The 26,139-nt window shown below is 41.0% G+C and overlaps 1 protein-coding gene and 1 pseudogene across 7 annotated transcripts in view; one reads left to right on the top strand and one right to left on the bottom strand.

Annotated features, from left to right (window-relative positions):
* Positions 1–26,139, bottom strand: part of SMARCA2 (SWI/SNF related BAF chromatin remodeling complex subunit ATPase 2) — a 178,274-nt gene that overhangs the window by 30,015 nt on the left and 122,120 nt on the right. For 4 of the 7 annotated variants that reach the window (NM_003070.5, NM_139045.4, NM_001289397.2 and 1 more), the window contains exon 28: positions 1,703–1,920. In NM_003070.5, coding sequence (NP_003061.3) covers positions 1,703–1,920 — 218 coding nt within the window. Of the gene's footprint in view, positions 1–1,702; positions 1,921–3,696; positions 3,793–4,627; positions 5,143–5,715; positions 5,945–26,139 lie in introns of those variants that run through there. The other 3 variants (NM_001289400.2, NM_001289399.2, NM_001289398.2) reach the window with 3 other exon arrangements.
* RNU2-25P (RNA, U2 small nuclear 25, pseudogene) lies at positions 653–843 on the top strand (annotated as a pseudogene).

Raw genomic sequence — 26,139 nt, 5'->3', positions numbered from 1 at the left:
TACTTAGTAATATTTTGTTTTAAACCAGGGACTGAGAAAATACGGCATAATAATCCAAGCTGGCTTCTAGAATACTGTCCCTTTCTGTGGCAAATATACAAGGGGAGCTTGGGGGTGAGTAAAAACGTAAGAGTTACTGATTCATGGTTTACAAGGAAGTTTTCATGTTCACTCTGGACAAAGCATGGACTTGCGGTCAAAATTTCCTTCCTGGATTGCTGTCATTCCCCTTCATTAATGAACCGTTGGTCCAAACCCAAGAGAATGGGGTTGCCATTCTGGCCACTTCAGAAGCCTTAAAGGGGATGAACTTAATTTATTTTTTGAAAAAAGGAAAACAGCACAAAATCTGAGAGACCTGGTGGGCAAAATGGAGCAAGAATTTCTGGCCTTTTGACAAACATCTCCACCTACTCCTCTTTCCCCATTTCTGAAAACTCCTTGCAGATAAGAAAGGCTTAACAGCAAAACCCCATGGTGGAAAGTTTCTTGCTTTTTATACCACTTAATTTTTATAATAATTTTTCCTTCCTGCTATGATGTATTCGGCAAAGCCATAATGAAAAACTAAAAACACAACGTAGTTATTCATGTTAAACACTTACAGGTGCACAGAGCAACACTAGTTAATGTCAAACATTTCTGGTAACTAACTGCTTCTCAGCCTTTTGGCTAAGACCAAGTGTAGTATCTGTTGTTACATGCTTAATATCTGATTCCTCCTCTATCCGAGGACAATATGTTAAGTGGATTTTGGAAGCAGGGAGCTAGAAGAGGAGCTTGCTTCATCCACTCCACACATCGACCTGGTACTGCAGTACCTCCAGGAATGATGCACCCCCTTAAGAAAAAATTTTTTTCAATTGGTAATTTAAAACTGATTAATACCACTATGCAACTGAGAGAGTGAAAATGTCTGTTTCCTGTCAATTTTTCAACTGAAACGAGAAGCCATCTTCAAATAAAAACATTACCACGTGATAATAAAGTGGAAACCAAGTCAACTAACCAAAACGTAGCCTAACTAGTTCATCTACTGTATGGATCTGACTGACACCCTACAGTGTCTTTGGTTTTCAAATAATTATTCACTGTTTAAAATGGCCTGGGAGGAGTGTCCCACACAGCTTTCTCAAAGTCTGTATCCAAAAATCCCATAAAAAAGGTAAATTTGCTGAAAGACCATGCTATGTGGTATTAGGAAGAAAGAGATAATTCAAGTGCTCAGAAATTCAAGTGTTGGAAGGAAAGGAGAAACTGTATTTACTATGAAGCATCTATTTTGCTTTAAACAGTCTTAACATGAAATATTTACCTTAAATATATTAGGATTCTTCTTTCTCTAACAATTCAATTAAAAAAAATAATATTACTCCATCATTCCAATCCCTTTCATCTGAAATATCTTCATTTTCAGATGGTATTTCAGAGGTCCTTAAGAATCCTTTTCTAATTTAGATATTTTAAACATTTTGTAATCTAAACTAAATTTTCAACTATCTTAAATAATACCTGATGAAACATCATACAAAATAGCAACAGTGGCCATTTTAAACAGGTACAAAGAGAGAAAGCCATAAAACACAAACTAGAAAGAACCTTAATAAAACCTAAGTGCACAACTTAACAACTCCTGCTCCTCAGGGAGCGCCACTCGGCGTCTTGGTGAGAGATGATCAAGGTGAAGGAACCAAACACTCACCTATCTTTGTAGTTTATCACAGTATCGATGATAGCGTTCATCTGCTTTGTCAGTTTGGGGGGATTTGGTGACAGTTTCTCAGCGGGAGGGCGGCCTCTTCTCTTCTTAGCTTTTTCCACATCTTCTTTTGCAGGATCTTTATCCACATTTCTTCGTCTTTTTCGCTTCTTAAGCCGTACTTCCTCTTCCATTTCCTCCAAATTGCCGTCTTCGATGGCCTGTTCGTTGGAAACAAAGGAGACAAATTCAAGACAAGAGAATAACCAAGACAAAAAAAGTATGTGTATATTTATATATAGCTCCAACAATTAGAATAAAATGAAAGAAATTAACCAAAAAAAAGTAAAAGTTAACAGTAATCAGTGGAGGAAGAAGAAAAAAGGAATGCTACCATATTGGATAAATGCATCTTTAACTCAAGTCTGTTTCATGAGCAAAACACACTGAAGGCCCAAAACACTCACAGTAAAGGAGAATATGACAAATATTAAAAGATCTATAAATTCAAGTGTTTGATGATAACTGAATCCAGATGAAATTTTAGCTCAGTTTAAGAACAAGACCCTAATGTTCTCATTACTGTAAGGGAAGGAAAAGGTAAACAAAACGAGGGGTGGGTTATGAAAAAACAATCCCTAAGAATACATCCACACGATCATATAAGCTTTGACCTTTTCTTCAGGTTTTGCATCAATTTATTCATGATTAACAATATAAATCAAAATTCCATCTAGATTTTTGTTCTAACGTGGCAATTAGTAAACAAGGAAACGGGAAAGTACAAAGCCACATTCCTTGGTAAACGCACTTAAATCATTCGATAAAGAACACACACACTCACAAACAATAAACACTTTTTTCCAATTACCTGCAAACGCTTGCTTTAAACCAGAGCCAGCAGCACTAATGCAGAGAGATAATAAAATAGCTATAAAAACAACCAGGTATAAAAGAAACCTGTTCATAAAGGGCTAAAAGATCCATGTGACAGACCCAGAAGTTTAAACTTTTTTTTTTTTTCCTGGTAAATCTCAAAACTCAAAAGAAGAAAAATAAAGGGGAAAAATACTGCCAAGGAAGAAAAAAAAAAAGAACATAAAATTTGAACATAGAAAAGAAATTTTCTAAAAAAAAGATCTTTAAATTACGTTTTGAGATTGCTCTCTCACACAAAATAACTAATGTTGTTATTTGTTCCTCCTGCCTCTCAATATTGCCTCCAGTATGCAAATGATAATCAATCCTTTCTCGTAGCTGAAAGAGCTCTAATCATAAGGCAATTACCTTCATTTCTCCACAGCACCAAACATGGCTAATATTTATGATCATGTGAGTATAACAATCAATATAAAGAGTGATTACAGCTCAGACATAATTTCTTTCACTTATGTACAACGCTTCCTGAAAAAGAAAGGTTTTGTGAAGAAAACCTGGTGCAGAACACAAAACAACCTGGCATGTTAAAAATGCCAGTGGGATTTTTAAAAAAATATGTTTTCTACGCATCCTCCAATGTGCAAATCCATAGAAGCAACATGCACACAGACAGATTCCTAAGGGACAGTCTGAGCCTAGGCCTTAATAATCAAAAGACAATTTCCATCACGATCCTACAGTGTTCAGATAACCACTATGAAGGAGGCGAGATCTGATGAGTTATGAGGAAAAAGGAAAAGGAAAAAAAAAAAAAAAGCTTCACATTATTGCATTAATATTCATTTGCCTAAAAGCAGGACACCCACTATACAGCTAAACACACTGCAGCTAAGCGAAGATTAAGAAAAGGAAATTGTCCCGCATATCTTGGAGGCTGAACATGCTAATAATAAATACAGCATGCAAGGCTGTCAACAGTTAATGGTATTGCTCTCCTCAAGCACCCAGTTGCACACAGAAATACGGAGAACACCGGCTTTTGATGTGTTACACACCTACACATGCCTGGGATGTAGTTCTACTGAATCTTCAAGACGGCAACGAAAAAGGATATTTACCTTACCACTATCAGCAGGCCGGCTATCAGAAATCACAGTTAGTGGGGATAAAATTAACAAGCCAGCAAAGCAGCGAGCTGCTAGTCTCTTCATCAGCTGATCAGGAAAAAAAAGAGAGCTGGGGAAAGGCTGTGTTTTCATATACAAGTAATTTTATTTTACTGAAAATTTAATACTGAAAGGATTGTGGATACTCAAATCTGCTGTTTCATGCTACCTACTACAAGGCCCGAAGGCTTCCTCCTTCAGCCTGTTTTAATATTGACAACTACTTATCATATTTTTTTCCCCTTATTATTCCAGGCAGCAGAATTAGAGATTTTAGCTCAGATGGTTTCTGAGTCTTGCTCGCATTTTAACAATTAAGCCAGTAAGAAAACAAATTAATATTCAAATTTATTTTAAAAAATTAAAACAAGGTATGCTTTTTTGGTATTTTGTACCTTATTTTTTAAAAAATAGCAGCATGGTTTGGAGCAGTCTAAATGATTTTTAAAACAGAAGACAATTTTTTAAGAAAATTAAATGCATGTAAATAAAAGCAATGTACATGTTCTAAGATTCAAATATTTTAACATAATATGTTATTCTGCTCTTTAAAGAAAATTCAGAACAACTGTAACACTTCACTTTCAGTTTCATGCTGTAAAATTTTTCATTGTTTTTCTTCTCACTGAGATAAATGAAGTTGGGGGGAGTTGTAAAAAGGATATTTCTACTCTCACCCCGCCTTAATTTTGAAAAGAGGGAAAAAGCATAAGCTTGTGATATTTGGACTTTTAAATCTCTAAATCTGTGAGTAGCTAAGAAGCGAAAACAAATTAAATTGCAAACAGAACAACTGAAACAATTTTTATTACAACTGCTAATACGTGCAGATTCTTATTAAATTTAGGTTTTGGAATTACAAGGAAACACACAAAGTACTGACCATTATTCCCCTCAAACTAAGGTTTTATGCAGGAATGCAGAGAGCTACAAAACATCTTCCCTCCTCCCCAAAGACCCCAAACACATCCATATGCAGTGCTTTATGTTCTGTGATTTCTAAGGGTCTTTTTCTAATGGAAATCAATTCACTAAACACTTCCCAATGCTTTTCGCACATAAAGAGTAGAGTAAGATTACTCCTGCATGTAAGTAAAATTATTCATGGAGATTTTAAACTGTTCTTTTATTTTAAAAAATTATTTACTAAACTGGCTCAACTGACTCAAACTCAGCGCTGGGGGCTGGGGGGTCACACACAAAAAAAACCCCAAAACTTGCTACACAATGCTAAAGTACTACCCCCAAAAAGAATTCCCTTCCAAACCTTTTACCAGCACAATAATGAAATAAATCACAGAAGCAAACCCCCAGTTTCCGACTGGTGACGTGTTGCGCAAGAGTGCGAGCCCTAATTCAACATACAGACGGCTCCCATGCTCAACTGCCTCTAGATTTAATGAAGTGAATAGGAAGGAAGTCGGGGAAAAAAAGTGTACAAATAAGAAATTAACACTTTCCTTCCCTACCGAGACGGTGAAACACAACTACAGCGAAGTTTAGTGAGGCACCTCTTTTCTTAAAGGCACACTGCACCCGTTTGGCTCCGGATGTCACGAAAAAAAACCCATATGGTGGTAAAAATCCCCAGTCAAGTTAAAACAGTTAAGCATATTTCAGCCTGCGTTTTTCCTGAATGAAGCTGGGAATTACTCCTTCCTCCACTGGATGGCAACCTTTTTTTTTTTTTTTTTTTTTTTTGGCCCTCTTTCTCTCTTTTCTTTCTTTCAATTTTGCTTAAAAGAAAATGTTTTTCATGACTCAGGGTGTGCAAGAACGAGATGCAAACTAGCTCCCTCTTCAATTAGTTCTTATGAAAGCGGCGTGCACGTTCTGACAGCAAAATGCAGGAGACAGTCATGCAGGATTAGCTGTTCTAGAGGAAACGCTTTGCAGCTAGCAAAGCACATGGCAGACCCGGGAAGCAGCCACACGTGGGTCCAGTCGTGGCCCTCTCATCCTGACACACACCAACCACATCTTTACTGCGTGACGGCAGGTCCAGAAAGTCAGCCTCAGGCGCCTTCTTCTCAACCCGGTGGTGTAAAGAATTGCTGTTATGCGTGGTTCACAGTATCACAAAGCAGAGGGGATCCATGATTATGAATAGGTAAACAGGGACACGCAAACAAAAAGCCCCAAGCCAACTCCTGCGCATCGTTTCCACCTCCGCCTCTCCAAGTCCACCAAGCCATGTGGCACAGTCCTTACAGTGGAACAAACCATCTTAACACTGAAAGGAGCAATTCTAAAGATATCCAGACAAGGCATGGAAATTTCTTCCATGTGCAACGGGAAAAGTCAGTACTCAAACACTAACTCTGCTATTTCAGTATCATATTTCTGTCCACTGACACTTTCTCTTTCTCCCTCTGGGGATCCTCCTCCCTTAGGAACTCTAGTTGGATTCCAGAAGAGGACCCTGGGATGCTGCTGGGCATGGGGGTGGGGTTATAGAGCCCAGGGCTAAGCGTTAAAGAATGCAGGTTAAGACCACTACATTATACTGGTGCTTTCTGGGGACAGCTCACACATCACCAAACTTGATTCCAAAATTCAGACAGGCTAAACCTCCCTCGTGCCCTGCTGAGATCCTGGAAGCCAATAATACAGTAATGATCCCCCAAACAAGAAAAGCAATGGCAACAAAATAGTGGAATTTTACATTTACATTTTCATATATGAGAGATTTTCTTACAATATAAATATTAAACAACAACAAAGTTGAACATAGAGCTCGTCCTCAAAGATGCTACGTTATTTTAATCGGTTTAATGCATACTGTAGCACTTTTGGATGCAGAATTTCAGACTCAGGGCTTTGGACAGTAAGTTTTTGATTATTACTGTCTCCACAAGCAACCTGTTAGAAAAACTGACATAAAATCAAATTCCCTAAAGTGAAATAATCTAGACGCAAAAAAGCAAATACTGTATGATTTCAGAGATGAGAAAAGAGAACAGTGGTTACCAGCGGCTGAGGGAAGACGGCCGGGGAGTTAGTGCTTAATGAGGTCAGAATTTCAGTTTGAGATAACGGAAAAGTTCTGAAGATGGGATGTTGGTGATGGTTGCACAACAATGTAAATGTACTTCATGTTACTGAAATGTACACTTGAAATGGCTACAATGGGCCAGGTACGGTGGCTCATGCCTGTAATCCCAGCACTTTGGGAGGCCAAAGCAGGTCAATCACCTGAGGTAGGGAGTTTGAGACCAGCCTAACCAACATGGAGAAGCCCCATCTCTACTAAAAATACAAAATTAGCCGGGCATGGTGGCGCATGCCCTGTAATCCCACCTACTCAGGAGTCTGAGGCAGGAGAATTGCTTGAACCTCGGGAGGCTGAGGTTGCAATTAGCCAAGATTGTGCCATTGCACTCCAGCCTGGGTAACAAGAGCAAAACTCTGCCTCAAAAAAAAAAAAAAAAAAAAAAAAAAAAAAAAGTCTAAAATGGTAAACTTTATGGTATTTTCCCATAAGAAAAAAAAGTCCCTGAAAAGAAACCAAATTATCTAAATTAAGGAACAACTTAACCCCAATTAAACCCCAACAACTGCAGGTTCATACATGTTCTTACCACCTCGACACACAGCACATATTAGCGAAATCTTGCTAGCTTTCCTTCAGAATTCAACCCTTTTAACATTTCAACAGATAGCACGTTCAGTCTTGCCCTGGCCAATGGCTAGAACTTTTCGAAAATCCCCATTTATTCTTTCAAAGGTTATTAAGGGAATATCCATGATGTAAGAAAATAACTGTGTATAGCACATAACTATTCACAAACCTTATACTTTTGTTAACAAATGCTTCCCATATTCAAGAGATGAGTTGGTCTGAAGGGTAAGGACTTTTTTGGATATAGTTTTTTTCCTCCGACTGTGGTTCAATAAACTGATGACATTAACTCAACAGACTCTGTTTCGTATTTCATTCGTCAGGCAACTGGGATGCCAACTGCACTCCCAGTTCTCCCTGATTTGGGACTGAAATGTACAAAGCTGACCATAAAGGGGAAGAAAATTGAGCCTCAGCTTAACTGAATTTCTGGTACAGTGGGTTTTCCAGTTTACTGATCAATAACTTCAGATCACTTTTGAAAAAAAAAAAAAAAAAAAAAAAAAAAAAAAAAAAAAAGGTTTTCTCTTTCCCCATATGCCATAAGCACATGGAGGTGGGTGACGAAGGGAAAAGGGGAGCTACGGCTTACACATCTGAGACAAGGTCAATTAATACACTATTTTAGTTAAAAGCAATTTGGTTGGAAAAACGAAAATGCCCCCGCGCAGTGGCTCACGCCTGTAATCCCAGCACTTTGGGAGGCCAAGGCGGGTGGATCACAAGGTCAGGAGTTCGAGACCAGCCTGGCCAATATGGTGAAACACCATCTCTACTAAAAATACAAACATTAGCCAGGTGTGGTGGCACGTGCCTGTAGTCCCAGCTACTCGGGAGGCTGAGGCAGGAGAATCGCTTGAACCCGGGAGGCGGAGGCTGCAGTGAGCCGAGATTGCCCCACTGCACTCCAGCCTGGGCAACAGAGCAAGACTCAGTCTCAAAAAAAAAATAAAAAGAAAAATGAGTTTAAAAATTATTTTAGCCATAAGTTCAACTAAGAACCCATGTGACTGATACCTTTTAAGCAGTATTAAACACAATATACTCTATTTGGAGAATGACTTTTAGATTTAGTGGAGGTTGGCCCACAAAACGTCTGGCCCTGAAGACCCTACCAAATTATAAATGTGAAGTATTTACACCTTTGTTCTTACAAGTTAGGCACATGCTATGCTCAGCTCCCTGGGGTAGAATCAAAAAACCTGAGAGATGATCTTGAGACCCTGCAAGAGACTTAGAGAAACAATGGAGAACTGCAAGAAATACAGTTCTGCTTTCCTATTCCGAGATCATCAATCAAGTTACTATCTACTCTTAACACAGTCAGGAACTCCATCCGCTTGTCTGTTGAGCAGGGCTCCTCAGAAGGGCCTGGGCCACTTCTGTACTTCGAGGTTCTCAGTATATTAAAAATGAAATGCCAAAAGAGGGTAACAAACTAATATAGTTTTAATGCTCACAAAGAATAACTTAATGCTTTTAAGACAGATAAAATACAACTATTAAGAGCATAACCTCATTTGGAGATAATGTCAAATGGCAACTTGGAAGCACCTTCATGAATGTGTGAGGCCTGAGCAAAATAAATGGTTCTTTCCTGGGCTTCCCTGGGATAGGCCGTCCATGAGGAACTGAGCCACAATCCAGGGTTCCACGCTACTGCAACAAGTCAGACTTTCAGAAGGTCACTACACCCATCGTGGTTAAGAACATCAAATTAATAAGATACTGATGAGAATGAGGTAGTTGTTCTGCTTGAGTCCAATGCAAAGAATGTCCATTAACAGCCCAATCATGAGAGAGGAAAACACGTAAATAAAGCAACAGAAGAAATCAAAAGCATAGTAGTTTGAGGCTGTCTAATATAGAAAAAAATAGCCCCAACTTTTAATAAATCTTCAGATACACAGCATCATTAATACTTCTACTACTACTGATGCAGCTACTACTACTACCACCATTGTCCCTGCCAGCAGCAGCAGCAACATTGGCTAACACGTTTGCTGTGTTGACAGCCACTCAGTGCTTTGGGTACATTTAGTCATTTAAACCTCACAATAACCCTAAAAAGGTAGCCACTCTTACTCTCTGCATTTTGCAGATGAGGAAACTGAGGCACAGAGAGATATAGCATCTTGTTCCAGATCATATCATAGTAAGAAGATGACTCAGTATTTGAACTCAAAGTCTGGCTGCATAAACCACACCCTTAACTACCAGATTATTCTACGTTATAGCAGAAAACAATAACTTATTATTAATGATGACTGCACCATCAGGAAAAGGCTAAGTTATACTTGCCAGGCTTAGGTGAATAATTCAAGTAAAAACATAACATGATACATCTTAGGAAGACTTTCAGCAAATATCACACACAGATAAACACACTTCCAGCAAAGATCTCTCTCTCTCACACACACACACACACAGCTTTGCATAGACGTGTGGAACCATAAAAGTAACCATGCAAGTTCAAAGTGCACAAGTCATTTTAATAGTCAATGGGATTACTGTTCCACAACTTTAAAAAATTTATGTCTAAACATTAAAAACTCATACATGTAGAGGGGAAGGAAAAAACTAGTAAAATAAGCATTTGCTTAGTACAGTAATTTAAAATATTAAAAACATTGAGCATTAAAATGTTTCATTTCCCTATTAAAAAAACTCTATCCAGAGTATTTTGCTTTGCTTTGCTTTATTCTAGACGGGGCCTCATTCTGTTACCCAGGCTGGAGTGCAGTGGTGTAATCAATCACAGCTCACTACAGCCTTAACCTTGTGGGCTCAAGCAATCCTCCCACCTCACCCTCCTGAGAGCTGGGACTACAGGCGCACACCACCATGCCTGGCGATTTTCTTTTTTGTAGACACAGGGTCAGGCTATGTTGCTTACACTTGTCTTGAACTCCTGGGCGCAAGCGATCTTCCTGCTTTGGCCTCCCAAAGTGTTGGGATTACAGGAGCAAGCAATCACATCTGGCCTATCGAGGGCACTTTGAACAGTGCTTTTCTTCTCCTTGTCAAATAACTTACGATATAGAATACACGTCTTTTCTATGCCTTGGAAAACTGCCATACTCCTAAATTTGGGTTGGCTTCCAACATTTTATCCTTTGCCATTTCCATGTCGTGAATTAGCTGAGTTCCTTTACTGTGACTTTGTTTTTTTGGTTGTTTGTTTGTTTTTGCCATTATCACTTCCTCTGGGTCATCTTCATCGTTTTCTTGATAGCCACATCCCTCATTTATGTGGGTAAGTTCACCTTCACCAATTTCCCTAGCTGAATATCTAGAATCTCTCCTGTATGGCCACTTTGTGATCCTACATCTTTCTTCACATAAATTATTTTTATTTTTTATAAATTCTTTTATTTTTATTTTTTGAGACAGTCTTGCTCCCTCTGTTGCCCAGGCTGGAGTGCAGTGGCGTGATCTTGGCTCACTGAAACCTCCGCCTCCCAGGTTCAAGTGATTCTCCTGCCCAAGACTCTCAAGCACCTGGGACTAAAGGTGTGCACCACCACGCCTGGCTAATTTTTATATTTTTAGTAGAGATGGGGTTTTGCCATGTTGGCCAGGCTGGTCCTGAACTTCTGACCTCAGGTGATCCGCCCACCTCAGCCTCCCAAAGCGCTGGGATTACAGGTGTGAGCCAATGCACCCGACCTTATTTTTTAAATTTTTGAGATGGAGTCTCGCTCTGTTGCCCAGGCTGGAGTGCAGCGGTACAATCTCAGCTCACTGCAGCCTCTGCCTCCCAGGTTCAATTCTGCTTCAGCCTTCCAAGTAGCTGGGATTACAGGCATGAGCCATGAGCCACCACACCTGGCTAATCTTGTATTTTCAGTAAAGATGGGCTTTCATCGTGTTGGCCAGACTGGTCTCAAACTCTCTTGACCTCAGGTGATCCACCTGCCCCGGCCACCCAAAGTGCTGGGATTACAGGCATGAGCCATGGCACCCAGCCTTTCTTCACTTAAGTTCTTGATAGGGTTGTCTTCCAAAAGATCTATCTCATCAGCATGAAATATTCCAGGATCATCATAAACCTGCCTCCATCTTGGGATTCGGGGTGAAATTTCACGGAAGCATCCTGATTTACACTAGTGGTGTCATCAGACTATTTAACATTCATCAGTTCATGGTGACTTCTGAGACAATGAAACCAGTCTTTACTGGCAGTCAAAAGTCCTCCTATAGTCTCCATGTAATTACCATTTTCTTTTAATTCAGAAACTAACTTCTTTGGCCTGAATACTAGTCACACTAAGCAGGATTTTTAAACACTTTGGCCTGAATACTAGTCAAACTAAGCAGGATTTTTAAAAATCATTATGGTCTTCCAACTAAAGTAAAATACTCAATTTCAATCATAAGTGGTTTTCTGTTCCTAGCGCAATTTAAATTAAAATATATTGAGATGACTTTACTGTGTTTTTTTTATATTCATTGGACATTTTCAGTGTGGTTTACATATTTTTTAATTCATTTATTTTTTATTTTTGATACGAAGTCTTGCTCTGTCACCCAGGCTGGAATGCAGTGGTACAATCTTGGCTCACTGCAACCTCCACCTCCTGGGTTCAAGAGATTCTCATGTCTCAGCCTCCCAATAGCTGGGATTACAGGCAGGCACCACTGGGCCCAGCCAATTTTTTTGTATTTTTAGTAAAGACGGGGTTTCACTGTGTTGACCAGGCTGGTCTCAAATTCGTGGCCTCAGGTGATCCACCTGCCTCATCCTCCCAAAGTGTTGGGATTACAGGCATGAGCCACTGTGCCCAGCCTCAATCTGGTTCGTACTGTAGCTTCATGCTGGCCTGGGTCTTGTACTGTCTTCGTTATCCTGTTGCCATTTTCACATCTCATCACAACAAATTTCACTTCCTTCATTACTACTACCTGTTTCTTTGCAGCACTTTCATCTTTGGTGGCCAATTCCCTCTCCTGATGAACTATTTTTTTAAATGTCATGTTTTCACTGAGAAAGAAGGCAGCAACACAGCTACATACTTTGCTGTCTGTGCATGAACTGAACAGACGCTCGCTAACAAATCACCACCAGATTCTGAGAAGTGATATGATTAGTTATTGATCAAAATGTACATGTGTCATGTACATAGTGATTTGTGAAGTTAGCCCCAAAGTCTGTGTTTTATGTGCAGTGACTCGGAATTGCTATACTATAGTGTTATGGGCTGAACTGCATCCCTCTAAAATTCATACGTTGAGGTCCTAATCCCCAAGACTTTAGATTGTGACTGTATTTTGAGATAGGGCTTTTAAAGAGTTAAAATGGCCCTAGGCCTATATGACTGCTGTCTTTCTAAGAAAAGGCTGCTAAGACACAGATGCACATAGAGGAACAACCCCGCATACATACACCAAGGAGGTAGCCATTTACAAGCCAAGGGGAGAAGTCTCAGAAGAAACCAAACCTGCTGACACCTTGATCTCAGACTTCCAGCCTCCACACAGTGAGATAATAAATCTCTGTTGTTTAAACCACCAATCTGTGGTATTTTATAATGGTAGTCCTAGCAAACTATTACATAGGGTAACTAAAATTTGTCATTGAGGGACTGGTGTTTAACTATATCCAGTGATGGGAATGTGTACATATGGAATGGTGCAAAGCAACGCTGCTCGTAGGCACATATAACACACCCCTCGGAGTAAACGATGGCAGGCTTTATCTTTCCTGCCATCCTATAATCTAAGGGAAACTGCCCCACCCACAGCATCTGCTGCCTGCGCTGCCATCTTCTGTATCAGGCAGCTGCTATCTGTCCTAGTCTCACCTGATGGAGATGGGAATGGTCCCCTGTTCTCAGAGTACCCTGTCTCTAAGCTTGTGTGGGGCCTGGCATGAGGGTCTCTGCACAAGCACAGCCAGAGTGATTGGCTGAGCCAGTCAGTTCACTTCTATTAAGAATTTGAGCTGCAGGTGTGAAAGAACATGTCCAGTTGGTATGGCAGTAGAAGTTGAATATAGGTCATAAGGTAGCATTATGCTAGGGATGTTATGAGTAGAAGCCATGAATAAGCAGAGGCCAACAGGAGATATGCAAAAAGTATACTGTGTGAAGGAGATGACTAGCTCTTCCCAGGGAGGTTCTAATTCCTTGCACTCACACACAAGTATTTGGTTAGCAATAGATACAGACGCATGTACTCACATACATGTATGTACACATACATAAATACACATAGATGCACATACACATATTATTAGAGTGTCAGTAGAGGAGTGTCTGGTTCTAGTTAAATTTGAGAAGCCAACTTGAAATGTACACTCATTTCAGATCTAGTCTGTATGCTGTTGCTAAGTATATAAAAGGTTATTTGTCAAGTATGTCTATCCCACTTTATTTAATAAAGCTAAAATGCCAAACAAAATTTTGAGTTTTGGTTAGCTAAGAGCTACATATATGTGGCAAAGACAATTTGCTATCCAATAAACTTTAAAATGAATCTCTAAAGCGCAAAAAAATAAGAACAAAGGTGAACATGGCCAGTGATATGGTTTGGCTCTGTGTCCCCACCCAAATCTCATCTTGAATTGTACTCCCATAATTCCCACATGTTGTGCGAAGGACCCGGTGGGAGATAATTTGAATCATGGGAGCGGTTTCCCTCACACTGTTCTCATGGTAGTGAATAAATCTTACAAGATTTGATAGTTTTATAAGAGGTTTCCTTTTTCGTTGTTGTTTTTTTGAGGAGTCTCACTCTGTCGCCCAGGCTGGAGTGCAATGGCATGTTCGTGGCTCACTGCAACCTCTGCTTCCCGGGTTCAAGCAATTCTCCTGCCTCAGCCTCCTGAGTAGCTTGGATTACGGGCACCCACCATCATGCCTGGCTAATTTTTTTTATATTTTTGTAGAGATGGGGTTTCACCATGCTGGCCAGGCTGGTCTTGAACTCCTGACCTCAGGTGATCCACCTGCCTCAGCCTCCCAAAGTGCTTGGATTACAGGTGTGAGCCACCACACCCAGCCAGGGGTTTCCACTTTTGCATCTCTCTCATTTTCTCTTGCCGCCACCATGTAAGAAGTGCCTTTTGCCTCCTGCCATGATTCTGAGGCCTCCCCAGCCATGTGGAACTGTAAGTCCAATTAAACCTCCTTTTCTTCCCAGTCTCAGGTATGTCTTTATCAGCAGTGTGAAAACAGACTAATACAGGCAGGTTTTACTAATAAACACACTTAGCTATATTCTGGCCCTGCATGGCTTCCATAGCTTTTTGGTATTCCAAGCCAGGACTAGCCGTTTTGCTGGTAATACATGGCTGAAATCAACATGAAGAGTTGGTGGCAGAGAAGGAGACACCAGGAGACCAGGTCAACTGAAGCACAGTCAAGGATTTGCGCAGGAGAGACAAACACAAAGTGCTCTAATGGGCAATGGCAAGATCTATAGAAAACAAGCTGGGCACCGTGGCTCACACTTGTAATCTCAGTGCTTTGGGAGGCTGAGGCAGGAGGATTACTAGAGGCCATGAGTTAGAGACCAGCCTAGGCAACATGGCAAAACTCTGTCTCTACAAAAAATAAAAAAATTAGTTGGGTGTGGTGGCATGTGCGTGTGTCTCAGAAAAAAGAAAGAAAACATCTCCTTATACCTAATGCTAAATGACGAGTTAATGGGTGCAGCACACCAACATGGCACATGTATAGATATGTAACAAACCTGCACATTGTGCACATGTACCCTAAAACTTAAAGTATAATAATAATAAAATAATAATAAAAAAAAGAAAACATCTCCTAAAATGTGTTCCAGAAATGGAGTATCTAGAGAAAATTTTAGAGGGTATACAACTGATAGTCAATAAATCTGAAGGAAATTAAGAGGCTCACTCAACTGACCACTACTTATGACTCTGCCTACTGCACAGACCTTCCTTGTCTAGGCCACTCTGCTCTTGCCATTTGGCTCAAATACCAATGATCAGCTGTGTTCCCAAACATGTTGATGTTAGTTATACTTATTACTGGAGCTACATTAATTCAATTAGATAGTACTTACATAAATGAATATAATGTAACTGTGAGAAGAAATTGGGTTCTTAGTTCTATAAAGAGCATGAACAATACAAGACTCCAAAAAGGTGAGTTTCTTTAAAAACAGCAGCAGCAACAGAAATGCTGTTGAATTTGGTGAGGGCTAGACTGTTACAACTGGGAGGCAAGTGTAAACTCAGCATGCTTTGTTAATATTAGGATTCTCATTCATGGCTGGGTATAGTGGCTCACACCTGTAATCCCAGCACTCTGGGAGGCTGAGGTGCAAGAATCACTCAAGGCCAGGAGTTTGAGGGAGGCTGCAATGAGCTGTGATCATGCCACTGCACTACAGCCTGGGTGAGGCCCTACTTTTTTTTTTTGAGACGGAGTCTGGCTCTGTCACCCAGGCTGGAGTGCAATGGTGCGAACTCAGCTCACTGCAACCTCTGCCTCCCGGGTTCAAGCAATTTTCCCTGCCTCAGCCTCCCAAGTAGCTGGGATTACAAGTGCCCGCCCACCACGCCCCGCTAATTTTCGTATTTTTAGTAGAGACAGGGTTTTGCCGTGTTGGCCAGGCTGGTCTCGAACTCCTGACCTCAGCTGATACTCCCGCCTTGGCCTCCCAAAGTGCTAGGATTACAGGCGTGAGCCACCACGCCCAGAACACCAAAACTGGAAATCCTAAGTGAAACATTATAGGTGTTATTTCTGTGAGAAAGATTATGTGTGATTTATGTGTTCTAGCCAGTTTACTCAAAGAGGCAATCTCAGCCTTACAATGAAAGATGTGGCAAACAGATATATGCTTTTAATTAAAAATTACATGTACATATAAGTGACATATTATTTTCTCACCCTAATGAATGTTTTCGTTGACCAATGCACCACTGGTTCTGATTATTTAAGAAGGCATCTGCTCTTCCATCTTTTTGGAATGGGGGTCATAAAGAAGGTCATAGTACCTTGCTTTTTTTTTTTTTTTTTTTGGTCACTCAGTACATTTTTTCCCTGTAATAATACTTAATAGCTCGATTCTGTACTTTTTCTAAATAGTTATGAGCTGTATCCTATTGCTCAGATCTTAAACACTTCTGTCATGAGCTACTGCACTACTCAGTTTCTTAAATTCTCCTCAGTCTATCAATTCCAAGCCTGCCTGTATGGAACTGTCAGAGATGTTTGAAGCAGAGCAACTCCATCTTGAATAGGGGCTATGTAAAATAAAGCTGAAACCTACTGGGCTGCATTCTCAGACAGTTAAGGCATTGTCAGTCACAGGATGAGATGGGAGGTCAGCACAAGATACAGGTCATAAAGACCTTGCTGATAAAACAGCTTGCAGTACAGAAGCCAGCCAAAACCCACCAAAACCAAGATGGTGATGAGAGTGACCTCTGGTGGCCCTCACTGCTACACTCCCACCAGAGCCATGACAGTTTACAAATGCCATGGCAACATCAGGAAGTTACCCTATGTGGTCTAAAAAGGGGAGGCATGAAAAATCCACTCTTTATTTAGCATATCATCAAAAAACCACCACAAAAATGGGCAAGCAGCAGCCCTCGAAGCTGCTCTGCCTATGGAGTAGCCATTCTTTATCCCTTTACTTTCCTAATAAACTTGCTTTCTCTTTACTGTATGGATTTGCCTCAAATTCTTTCTTGTGCAAGATTCAAGAACCCTCTCTTGGGATCTGGATCCGGACCCCTTTTCAGCAACATCTTTCTGGTGACCACAAAGCCACAATACCTAGGAAACCCCCGATCCAAAGGCTAACTTTGAGTAAGTGGTGGGATCCGGTAACAGAATCTAGAGATCTCTATGATCTGATCCTACCCATCCTGATTTCGCATATTTCTTATTGCTGTGGACTAAATGATTGTGTCCTCCCAGAATTCCTGTCTTGAAATCCTAGCCCACAAGGTGATGGTATTAGGAGGTGGGGCCTTTGGGAGGTGATTAGGTCATGATTGGGAATAGTGCCCTTATTAAAAAAGACCCCAAAGAGCTCCCATGTCCCTTCTACCATGTGAGGACACAGCAAAAAGGCACTGTCTATGAACCAGGAAACAGAATCACCAGACATGGAATCTGCTGGTGCCTTGATCTTGGACTTCCCAGCTTCTAGAACTGCTTATAAACCAATCTATGGTATTTTGGTATAGCATCCCAGACTAAGACACCCAGCTATGCGAACATTCTGCAAATAATAGGAACACAAAGCCCATGCCACACTGTAGCATGCCATATTTATTCCCACCTTTGTGATTACTCTTACTTCTCGCCTGGGATGTCTTTCCCAATCCCCTGTGCCTATGCACATTGCATACATGTTCAGTGATCAACTCCCATTCCACTACCCCTCCAGGTGTGCCAGATCATCTTGATTTTTTCTTCTTACAAAGATAATGCCTTCGTTTTTCTCAATTCCCCTAGAGTACATAGCACAGTAATGAGGGAGGGAAACTAGATACTGTAAAAACAGTTGAGAACGAATTCAACTTTTAGATAGGGTTCCCTGGGAAAACTGCTCTTAGATATATATCCATTTATGGAACACTAAGTCCAAATGTATTTGTTCTAGGTATTTTAATGTCAATCTTCAAGTACTAAAGGATAAACTCTAGCATCAAACTCTCTGCATCTTCCCTACTTCACCCATTCCTCACCTCCCCTTTACTGTCAGGTGTCTAGGGTCACCTTTACGGATGATTCTACCGCCTGACCACACAATAAAATTCCTTGGCACCCAGAAGGACATTAATAATTTTAAAAAAATTGCCAAAAGCTTTCTAATTCCCACATCTTAGTCTTGTCTAAACTCTTTTATTTACTTTCTCCTCCATTGCTCCTTACTTAAAATATCTCTCCTTTCTATAGTGTTTGGGTTTCTCTCTCTTTTTTTTTTTTTTTTTTTTTTTTTGAGACAAGAGTCTTCACTCTGTCACCCAGGCTGAAGTGCAGTGTTGCAGTCTCGGCTCACTGCAACCTCCGCCTCCCGAGTTTGGATGATTCTCTTGCCTCAGCCTCCCAAGTAGCTCAGAGAGACTACAGACATGCACCACCATGCCCGGCTAATTTTTGTATTGTTAGTAGAGATGGGTTTCACCATTTTGGCCAGACTGGTTTCGAACTCCTGACCTCAAGTGATCCGTCCGCCTAGGCCTCCCAAAATGCTGGGATTACAGGCATGAGCCACCATAACCAGCGCGTTTCTCTAAGTTTACTAGCCACATTTTTCTCTCCTTAAATGCAGATTCCCCAACTTTTCTTTTGGCTTTTTTTTCATTCACAGATTGTGAATATGCAGTCAAATGTGGGCAATTACCCTTTCTGAGTACACACCAGGCACCACTAAGTCTGGATGTCCTCAGCAGCAACAGGTGAGATGAGTTGTGATCAGCAACAGGTGAGATGAGTTGTGATCAGCAACAGGTGAGTCTCTTAATGACCTCTGGAGGCCTCGCTGCTAGAGAACTTCACTACTGCCCCCCTGGAGGGGACATAAGCCATAATTCAGGAAGGCTGTTAATTTTACTGATCCTGGAGACGGGGCTCTTTTGTGGACTCCTGCTGAGCAGCCTAGATCATAGACTCCAATCCTCCATATGGTGAGTGCTTTCTGAGCAGCTCCTAACTACTGATGGGAGGCTCCTGAGAGGAATCTAAGCCCTCCTCCTGGGTGTAAAATCTGCCATGGGGATCCTACTTGCCTCTATGGCTTCAAACATGACCTTGTCGGGACTCAGAAAGTGATACCCCAAAGACTGGTGCCTTGACATGCTTAGAGGCCTTAGAAGCTGCCTCAGAATCGAGGTCCTTCTAACCTGGTCTTGTCCCACCCCCATCCAGCGAAGGACACAAGAACGGACTTGCTCTGGAATTTCCTCATCTGGCCAAGAAAGTTTAACAGTCACAGTACGCAGGGGTCGCCAACAGAAACACAACTGTTTCCCTCTCCTCCCTGAAATTTCATTATCTCAGAAAAGAAGACTGAGGAATGCAACCACATCTGAGAAGACTCCTTCACAAGATAATACCTGCCTCTTGGGCTCATTCAAATTTCAAGAAAAAAATCATTTCCAAGTTAACTTCTGTCCATTCATTTCCTCTAATGATTGACTGCCCCCTCAAAAGAAATGCCTACATCCCCCCCCATCTCCCGGCTCCCCTATGAAAAGGGTATGTACGATTCTGTATTGCACTAGGTTATTGGGTAATCATCCTCCTGTGAGTTCCCCGTGCTATGCCTGTTAACATTTTGTATGTCTTTTCTCCTATTAATCTGCCTTTGTCAGTTGATTCTCAACGAACCTTCAGAGGGGAAAGGGGGAAGTTCTCCCTTGGCCCCTACAACCTCAATGCATATGGCTTCAAAAATTATCTCTCTAGCCTGCGCTTCTTTTTGGAGTCACCAATTGGGAATTCCACTGTCCTACCAAACATCACAAATCAAGTTTATCACTTTTCCTTCAACCAAGCAAATATTTCTCTTTGTGGATCCTGTCCGTCTCATCTAAAGGTAGCATCATTTCCCAGTTATCTCTCCTGGAAATCTTTAAAATGATCAGTTTCCCTTATCACATCCCTGCAGTCCTATTTGTCATCATATAGTTTACCTCTGAAATAGTTCATAAGCAATCTTTTCCCCCTGGTCTCCCTGCTGTCAGACGGGTCTCCTCTCCCACAGGGTCACATTTAAATGGCCTCCCTTATGGGTTTTCCCTGCCCTTTCTTTGACCTCTTCAATTAATCTTTTTCAATGCAAATGGTATCTTCTCTCTGCTTAAACAGAGGGACACATCATTCATTCTCTCATTTCAAATACGCTCAGGCTTTGAACTCTTTCTGTGAAATAGAATAAAGCCCAGATTCTTTGGTCATGCATAGCCTCCAGGGTCTGGCCCTAGCCTCATTTTTCCTCCCCACATCTACTGCTGTTAAAAACTCTGTCCCAAACACACAGTCACAGTAAGCAGGGGTCACGTATTTCCAAGCCTTCGTATACTTCCCTTGGCCTGGAACTCTCCTGATCCCTCTTTCCTACCCAAAGCATCCTCATCTTTTAAGAAAAGGCTAAAATACCATTTCTTTTATAACATCCTACGCAGTTCCCTCCTTCCCCTGTACTAGCACAATACATTACAGGTACTTTTATCCAGGTTGTTTAATTCTGCTTGTATAAGTTTCTTTTGTTTTAAAATATGTCCGAATCTCCTATCATCCCGAAATCTGTTTAAGAACTTAAAAAAAATCATTTTAATCAAAATTGCTTCCAAAGGCACTTAAATTGATGCCTTACTCACCAATGGGACCCAAAAATGTTGGTGAGATACAATTAAGTCTTTATTGTTTACCCCTCTGCTTTCTCAGGATGACAGAGCTTGCTAGGGAAACGCGTTCTAACAACTGGCTTGGATGATTACTGCTCAAGGGAGGACCACACAACTACACAGTGAATAAAAATAAGCCAGAGAAATGGGGCAAAATGAAGATCTTTGTTCTCAGTTTGCCCTACTCCAGCCTCACCTCTTTAAACTGCCTTTATTTTAACTAGTAACTACACAATCTTCTTATTTTAGCTTTGAGAGTTAAACGGCTTGAAGACGTTCAACTCTACAGGCTATTAAATAACATTTATAGGAGGCCATTGGTTTGGACTGACCTCCTGCACTAGACTCAACAGGCCAAACCAAAATGGAATCACCCTTGCTGAAGTTACACACCACTGAAACCAAGCTGTTTATCTGACCTTCTGAGAAATCAGGAGAGAGAGAGAGAATACCAAATCCCCAAACAGGCCAGTTTAAGCAAGCATAAGGAAGTTCCCTCTGCTTTAACCTTTAAAAGGAAAATTAACTTTGAAACAACCAATATGCTTTTTGTTCTATTTCTGCTTTCCTCTACCCTTTCTATTAAGCCAACTTCCTTTGCTTGACGTTGTCTGATTCTAGAACAGGAAAAGCCAATTAAAAACTTTAAATTTGATGTCATTTTGTCTTTTGACAAAGTAAAAAAGATTGTCCAGTGTCACCCAAGACGAGGAGCAGTGAAGACCAACACCCACTAGCCCAAAGGTAGAGCATCTGCAACTTGACTGATGGAGCTAAGGGCCCTACCTTCTCGAGAAACAGAGACAACCAAGGAGAGGGAAACTAACCTGTAGGTCCTAACTGCTTGGCAGAAGGAAGTCCACTAAGGGGCCCCTACTGTAGGAGCAGCCAGGTTAACAGCCTTCACGGGCAGGTCTCATCACCTGCCCCCAGGAGGCTGTCTTCAATTCTGCGTAAGTCCTCCCCGGGCCAGCTAGACCACCTGTTGCTGATCTGACGCGCTCCTGCACCTTTTCAAGAAGAGGCCAGAATTCACAAGCCAGGAGATCAGCTCAGTGGGCAAAGGGGCTGTAAACCAAAATGTGATTGACTTTCACTAAACTCCCATAGTCCTATAGTTTTTTTTAACATATTGAAGAGGCACATCTATGCACAGACTTGCATAGATGGCTTGGATGATTACTGCTCAAGGGAGGGCCACACAACTACATAGTGAATAAAAATAGGCCAGAGAAATGGGGCAAAATGAAGATCTTTGTTCTCAGTTTGCCCTACTCCAGCCCCACCTCTTTAAACTGCCTTTATTTTAACTAGTAACTACACAATCTTCTTATTTTAGCTTTGAGAGTTAAAAGGCTTGAAGACGTTCAATGCTACAGGCTATTAAATAAAATTTATAGGATGCCATTGGTGCCATTACCTTGTGCCATTACATTATGCACAGACTTGCATAGATGTGCATCTTCAATATATGAAAGAAGGTAAAACTCTACATTCAACATTCACTAAACAAATACACCTGTCATTAACTAAATGCGAAATCCAAAAACCATACTCCCTACCTGTGAGGCTTAGTTCCTCACCTGCAGAATGGGAGAAATAATACCTACTCCAAATCTTTAAAGGAATTAAAAGGTGCTGTCTATTTATAGCTTCCAGTCTAGCACTGGCCAATACAGGGAAAGGAGGAGATAGTAGATATACTGAGAGAAAGGGTCTAATTTGGCTCAGGAAAAGTCCTGAAAATCCTATGGGAATAAATTTGGATTAAGAATTCTCTCCCCTGGGGAGAGGAATGGCATGACACTTGCCAACTTGGTGGCAGTAAGAAAGCATTGACTACATGAGAGGTGACAGGTCACTTAAAAAGAGAAGGGTTCAGCCTGTGAAATACCAAAGGCCGGTTCAGAGAGGAAGCAAAAATCACTGCGCCAGTGTGAGAATGCAGGTCTCCATGTATCCCTTAATGGCCCTTAAAAAAAAAAGTCCTCTGGCACCAAGTGCCCAGTACAGCAAGGTGTCCTCAACCAAATGGAAAGACATGCACATTACCACTAACGGGCAGGGGCTCGGTGTGCATCATGGGTTAGGATTTACTGAAGCTACTACAAAAGAGCTGAGCCTCACAACAGGTTAAAAATAATTCTGAATGTAATGGCACCAAAATAACTCTGTCCATGATTTTTCTTGGCTCCTTCTCCAACCTTGGATACCTGAAGGTCAATGAGATTATAGGTGATTCTAGTTTCTTTCTTCACTCTTCTGTATTTTTCATTAGCTTTTATGACAGGGAACTGGTTCCAAATAAATTCTACTTTACAGTTTACATAAAAACCCAAAGCTTCAGGCGTTTGGGGGTTGTGATTACAAAAATGCAGAAAGACAGAACAGAACAGTCAATCATCAGATACAATGGTGGCAAATAAAAATATATACCAGTGAACCCCTATGCTGGGCTTATTAATTCTCTTTGAGAACAAATGTTCATTTTGGTGATCTCCCTGGAATGCTGACACGGTAGTCTGCTGGACTTCACAATATCCTTCCCTGTGCCTTCAAATGATATACCATGACATCAGTGTATTGATATTTTAAAATTAAATGCAAATGAATATGGTCTTGAAAATTTGGAGAAAACTTGATATATTTCAATGAACAAATTGGATCCTGTTAGCATCTGTTATATATTCTTCTAGACAGTATGCAGGGGATTTAAAATGGGACCAGAGTAGGTGACTTCTTGATGAGAGTACTAGAAAACTCTTGGTCTTGGTCTATGCAGAACTGCTGAAGTCCCCAACTAATTTGCAAGGAAAGTAGCAAAACCGCCTTTGCAAATTACGACAGTAAGAGAAATCTGACATAGTTGACTCCATTTTGCTTCTGACTGCCAAGCTGTCCTTAGTCATTCCTGGGAATAGGTCAAGCTAACTTTGGGAGAAATTTAGTTTGTAGTTTAACCTTCATGCAAGGATGATAATAGCCCTTCCCAAAACTAAACAACCTTTGTAAAACTAATGAAAGCCCACAGGTTAGGATTATGAGAGGGGCCTGAATTCTGCTAAGATGTATGTAAGTGAAACAATAACCAGGTATTTTTCCCTGATGTTACAAGATTTGTGACTTCCCCAGTTACTCCTGTAGACAATATTACTATCGTAGAACCTAAGATTGGTGTCTTGAGATGTCTTTTCAGACTTCTGCATTTCTGACGACCAGCTGACTCCACCTGGAGTAGCGACTATATTGGGGGTAGTGATTATAAAAATGGAGAAAAATAGAACAAAACAGTCAATCATCAGATAAAATGGCAGCAAATAAAAATATATACCAGTAACCCCTATGCTGGACTTATTAATTCTCTTGCAGAACAAATGTTCATTTTAGTGATCTTCCTGGAATGTTGACACTCTAGCGTGCTGGACTTCACAATATCACACCAGTGTTGGTGACTCGACCAGTCTTGTGGCTCCCCAACCCAGAGGCTAACTTAGCACATGAGGACCATTTTCCACACTTCTATAACTGCATCCCAAACCAATCAGCATTCCCCATTCTCTACCCCCCTGCCCACCAGACAATCCTTGAAAAACCCAAACCTACAAGTCTTAGGGGAGACTGATTTGAGTACTAACTCCATCTCCCACATGGTGTGGCTGGCCTCACGTCAATTAAACTCTTTCTTTACCGCAATGCCACGGTCTCAGTGGCCTGGCTTTGTGCAGCCAGAAGGAAGACCTGTTGGGTGATTACAGTAAACCCCTGTGGCAAGCAGGTGCTCCCTTTACTGACTCCACCATGTTGGTGTCCTGTCCATCACATCCTGTCAGCACACAGGACTCATCTCAACTCTTCAGATGCTACAGGTGAGTCCCCAAAAGCTCTACACATTTGACCAGTTACTAAGCTACAGATATGCTAGGGAACCCTTAGTTGTCAAGCCTGCATTTTTGAAAGAAACTCCGGCTAAGAACAGGGAGAAAAATCTCTCACCCACACCCCTCTGAGTTTCAGTTCCTAAGAGCTGAGTTCTCGGAGATGGAGCCAGGCCAAGGCAAACCCACATGGTTCTTTCTAGGGCCGCCAAAGGCAAAGCTGGAGAATGACAGAGCAGGAGAGATGGTGCTCTCTTCCCTACCCCTTTCCCCATTTCATGACTCCAATGTAGAGACAGGGAAACTGAAGCTCTGAGACGTAAAGTGATTTATCCAAGATGTTGCAGAGCAAATCAGTGACAAATCTGCAAGCAGAACCCTGATCATCTGACACCTGAGCCCATCTTTCATAAGTTATCAGAGGCAGCTGTGGAAGAGAAGAACGGACTATGGGAAGCCTTGGTAAAGCTCAACTTTTGAGGATGATATTTAAAATAATCTTTGGAAAAAGGTTCTACAAAGGTCCAAGGGAAAGATATTCTTCAAAACAGCATGATATGTTAGGAATATGCTTTCCTAAGAGCATAGTGACCTTAAATACTTATTTCAATAGGAGTGACAGAACAAGAATCAAGTTTTGCCTCAAGGAAAGGGTCATGGTGTCATCCACAATTTTCCATGATTCTGACAATTCATTCTTTAACATAAAAGAAGGGAAGCCATCTAAAAGGCATATAGCATCACATTTTAAATACGGAAAACACACAAAACTAAAAATCCAATTAATACTTTTTGTCTTAATTTTAAGTTAGATGTATTTATCTGTTTTTTTTTTGTTGTTGTTGTTGTTTTTTGCTGAAGAAATTAGAAGGCTCAAGCTAGAAGACAGCTGTTATAAAATCAATGAGAATTTCTGAGAAATAGCTGGGTTGAAGCAATGCTTGTACTTTTTAATGCATATTTAAATCTTCATTAATATGTTCTGAAATTAGAATGGAGGCCTCAAATTCTTAAAGCTCAAAAGCACTGTTACATCAAAAATGTGTGCCTTTAGAATTATTTTAAGAAATCTTTACATGAAGTCACAGATCACTGGAATCTAACAGGAGAGAATGACAATTTCTACCTTGACTCATCTTAGTTACAAAAACATGATTCTACTGTCTTTGCCAAAAGGATATGGGGCTGCAACCAAATCCCTCCTAGCCCTCATTTCTGCCTAGTATATTCACTTATCCACACCTATTTAAAGAGTGCTTACCACGCATAAAGTCCTGCTGCAGGTACCAGGACATAGCAGTCAAGAAGACAGGCAAAGGCCCTGGCTTTCTCGGAGCTTTATACCAGTGGAGAGGAACAGTAAGATAACTTTTAGATAGTGGCAAATGCCATGAAGAAAGTTAACATAGGTGATATGACTTGTTGCCAGGGGCTATCTATTTCAGCTAGGTTGGCCAGGAAGGGTCTCTCTGGAAGGAGATCATTGGGACAAGGAGGAGACAGCCACATGAAGATCTGGGAGAAAGACTTCTAGAAGTGCCAAGGACTAGAAG

This window comes from Homo sapiens, chromosome 9, assembly GCF_000001405.40.
Source record: "Homo sapiens chromosome 9, GRCh38.p14 Primary Assembly".
Lineage (NCBI taxonomy): Eukaryota > Metazoa > Chordata > Mammalia > Primates > Hominidae > Homo > Homo sapiens.
Note: the sequence above shows the minus strand (reverse complement) of the source record. Positions and strands in the feature narration are given on the sequence as shown.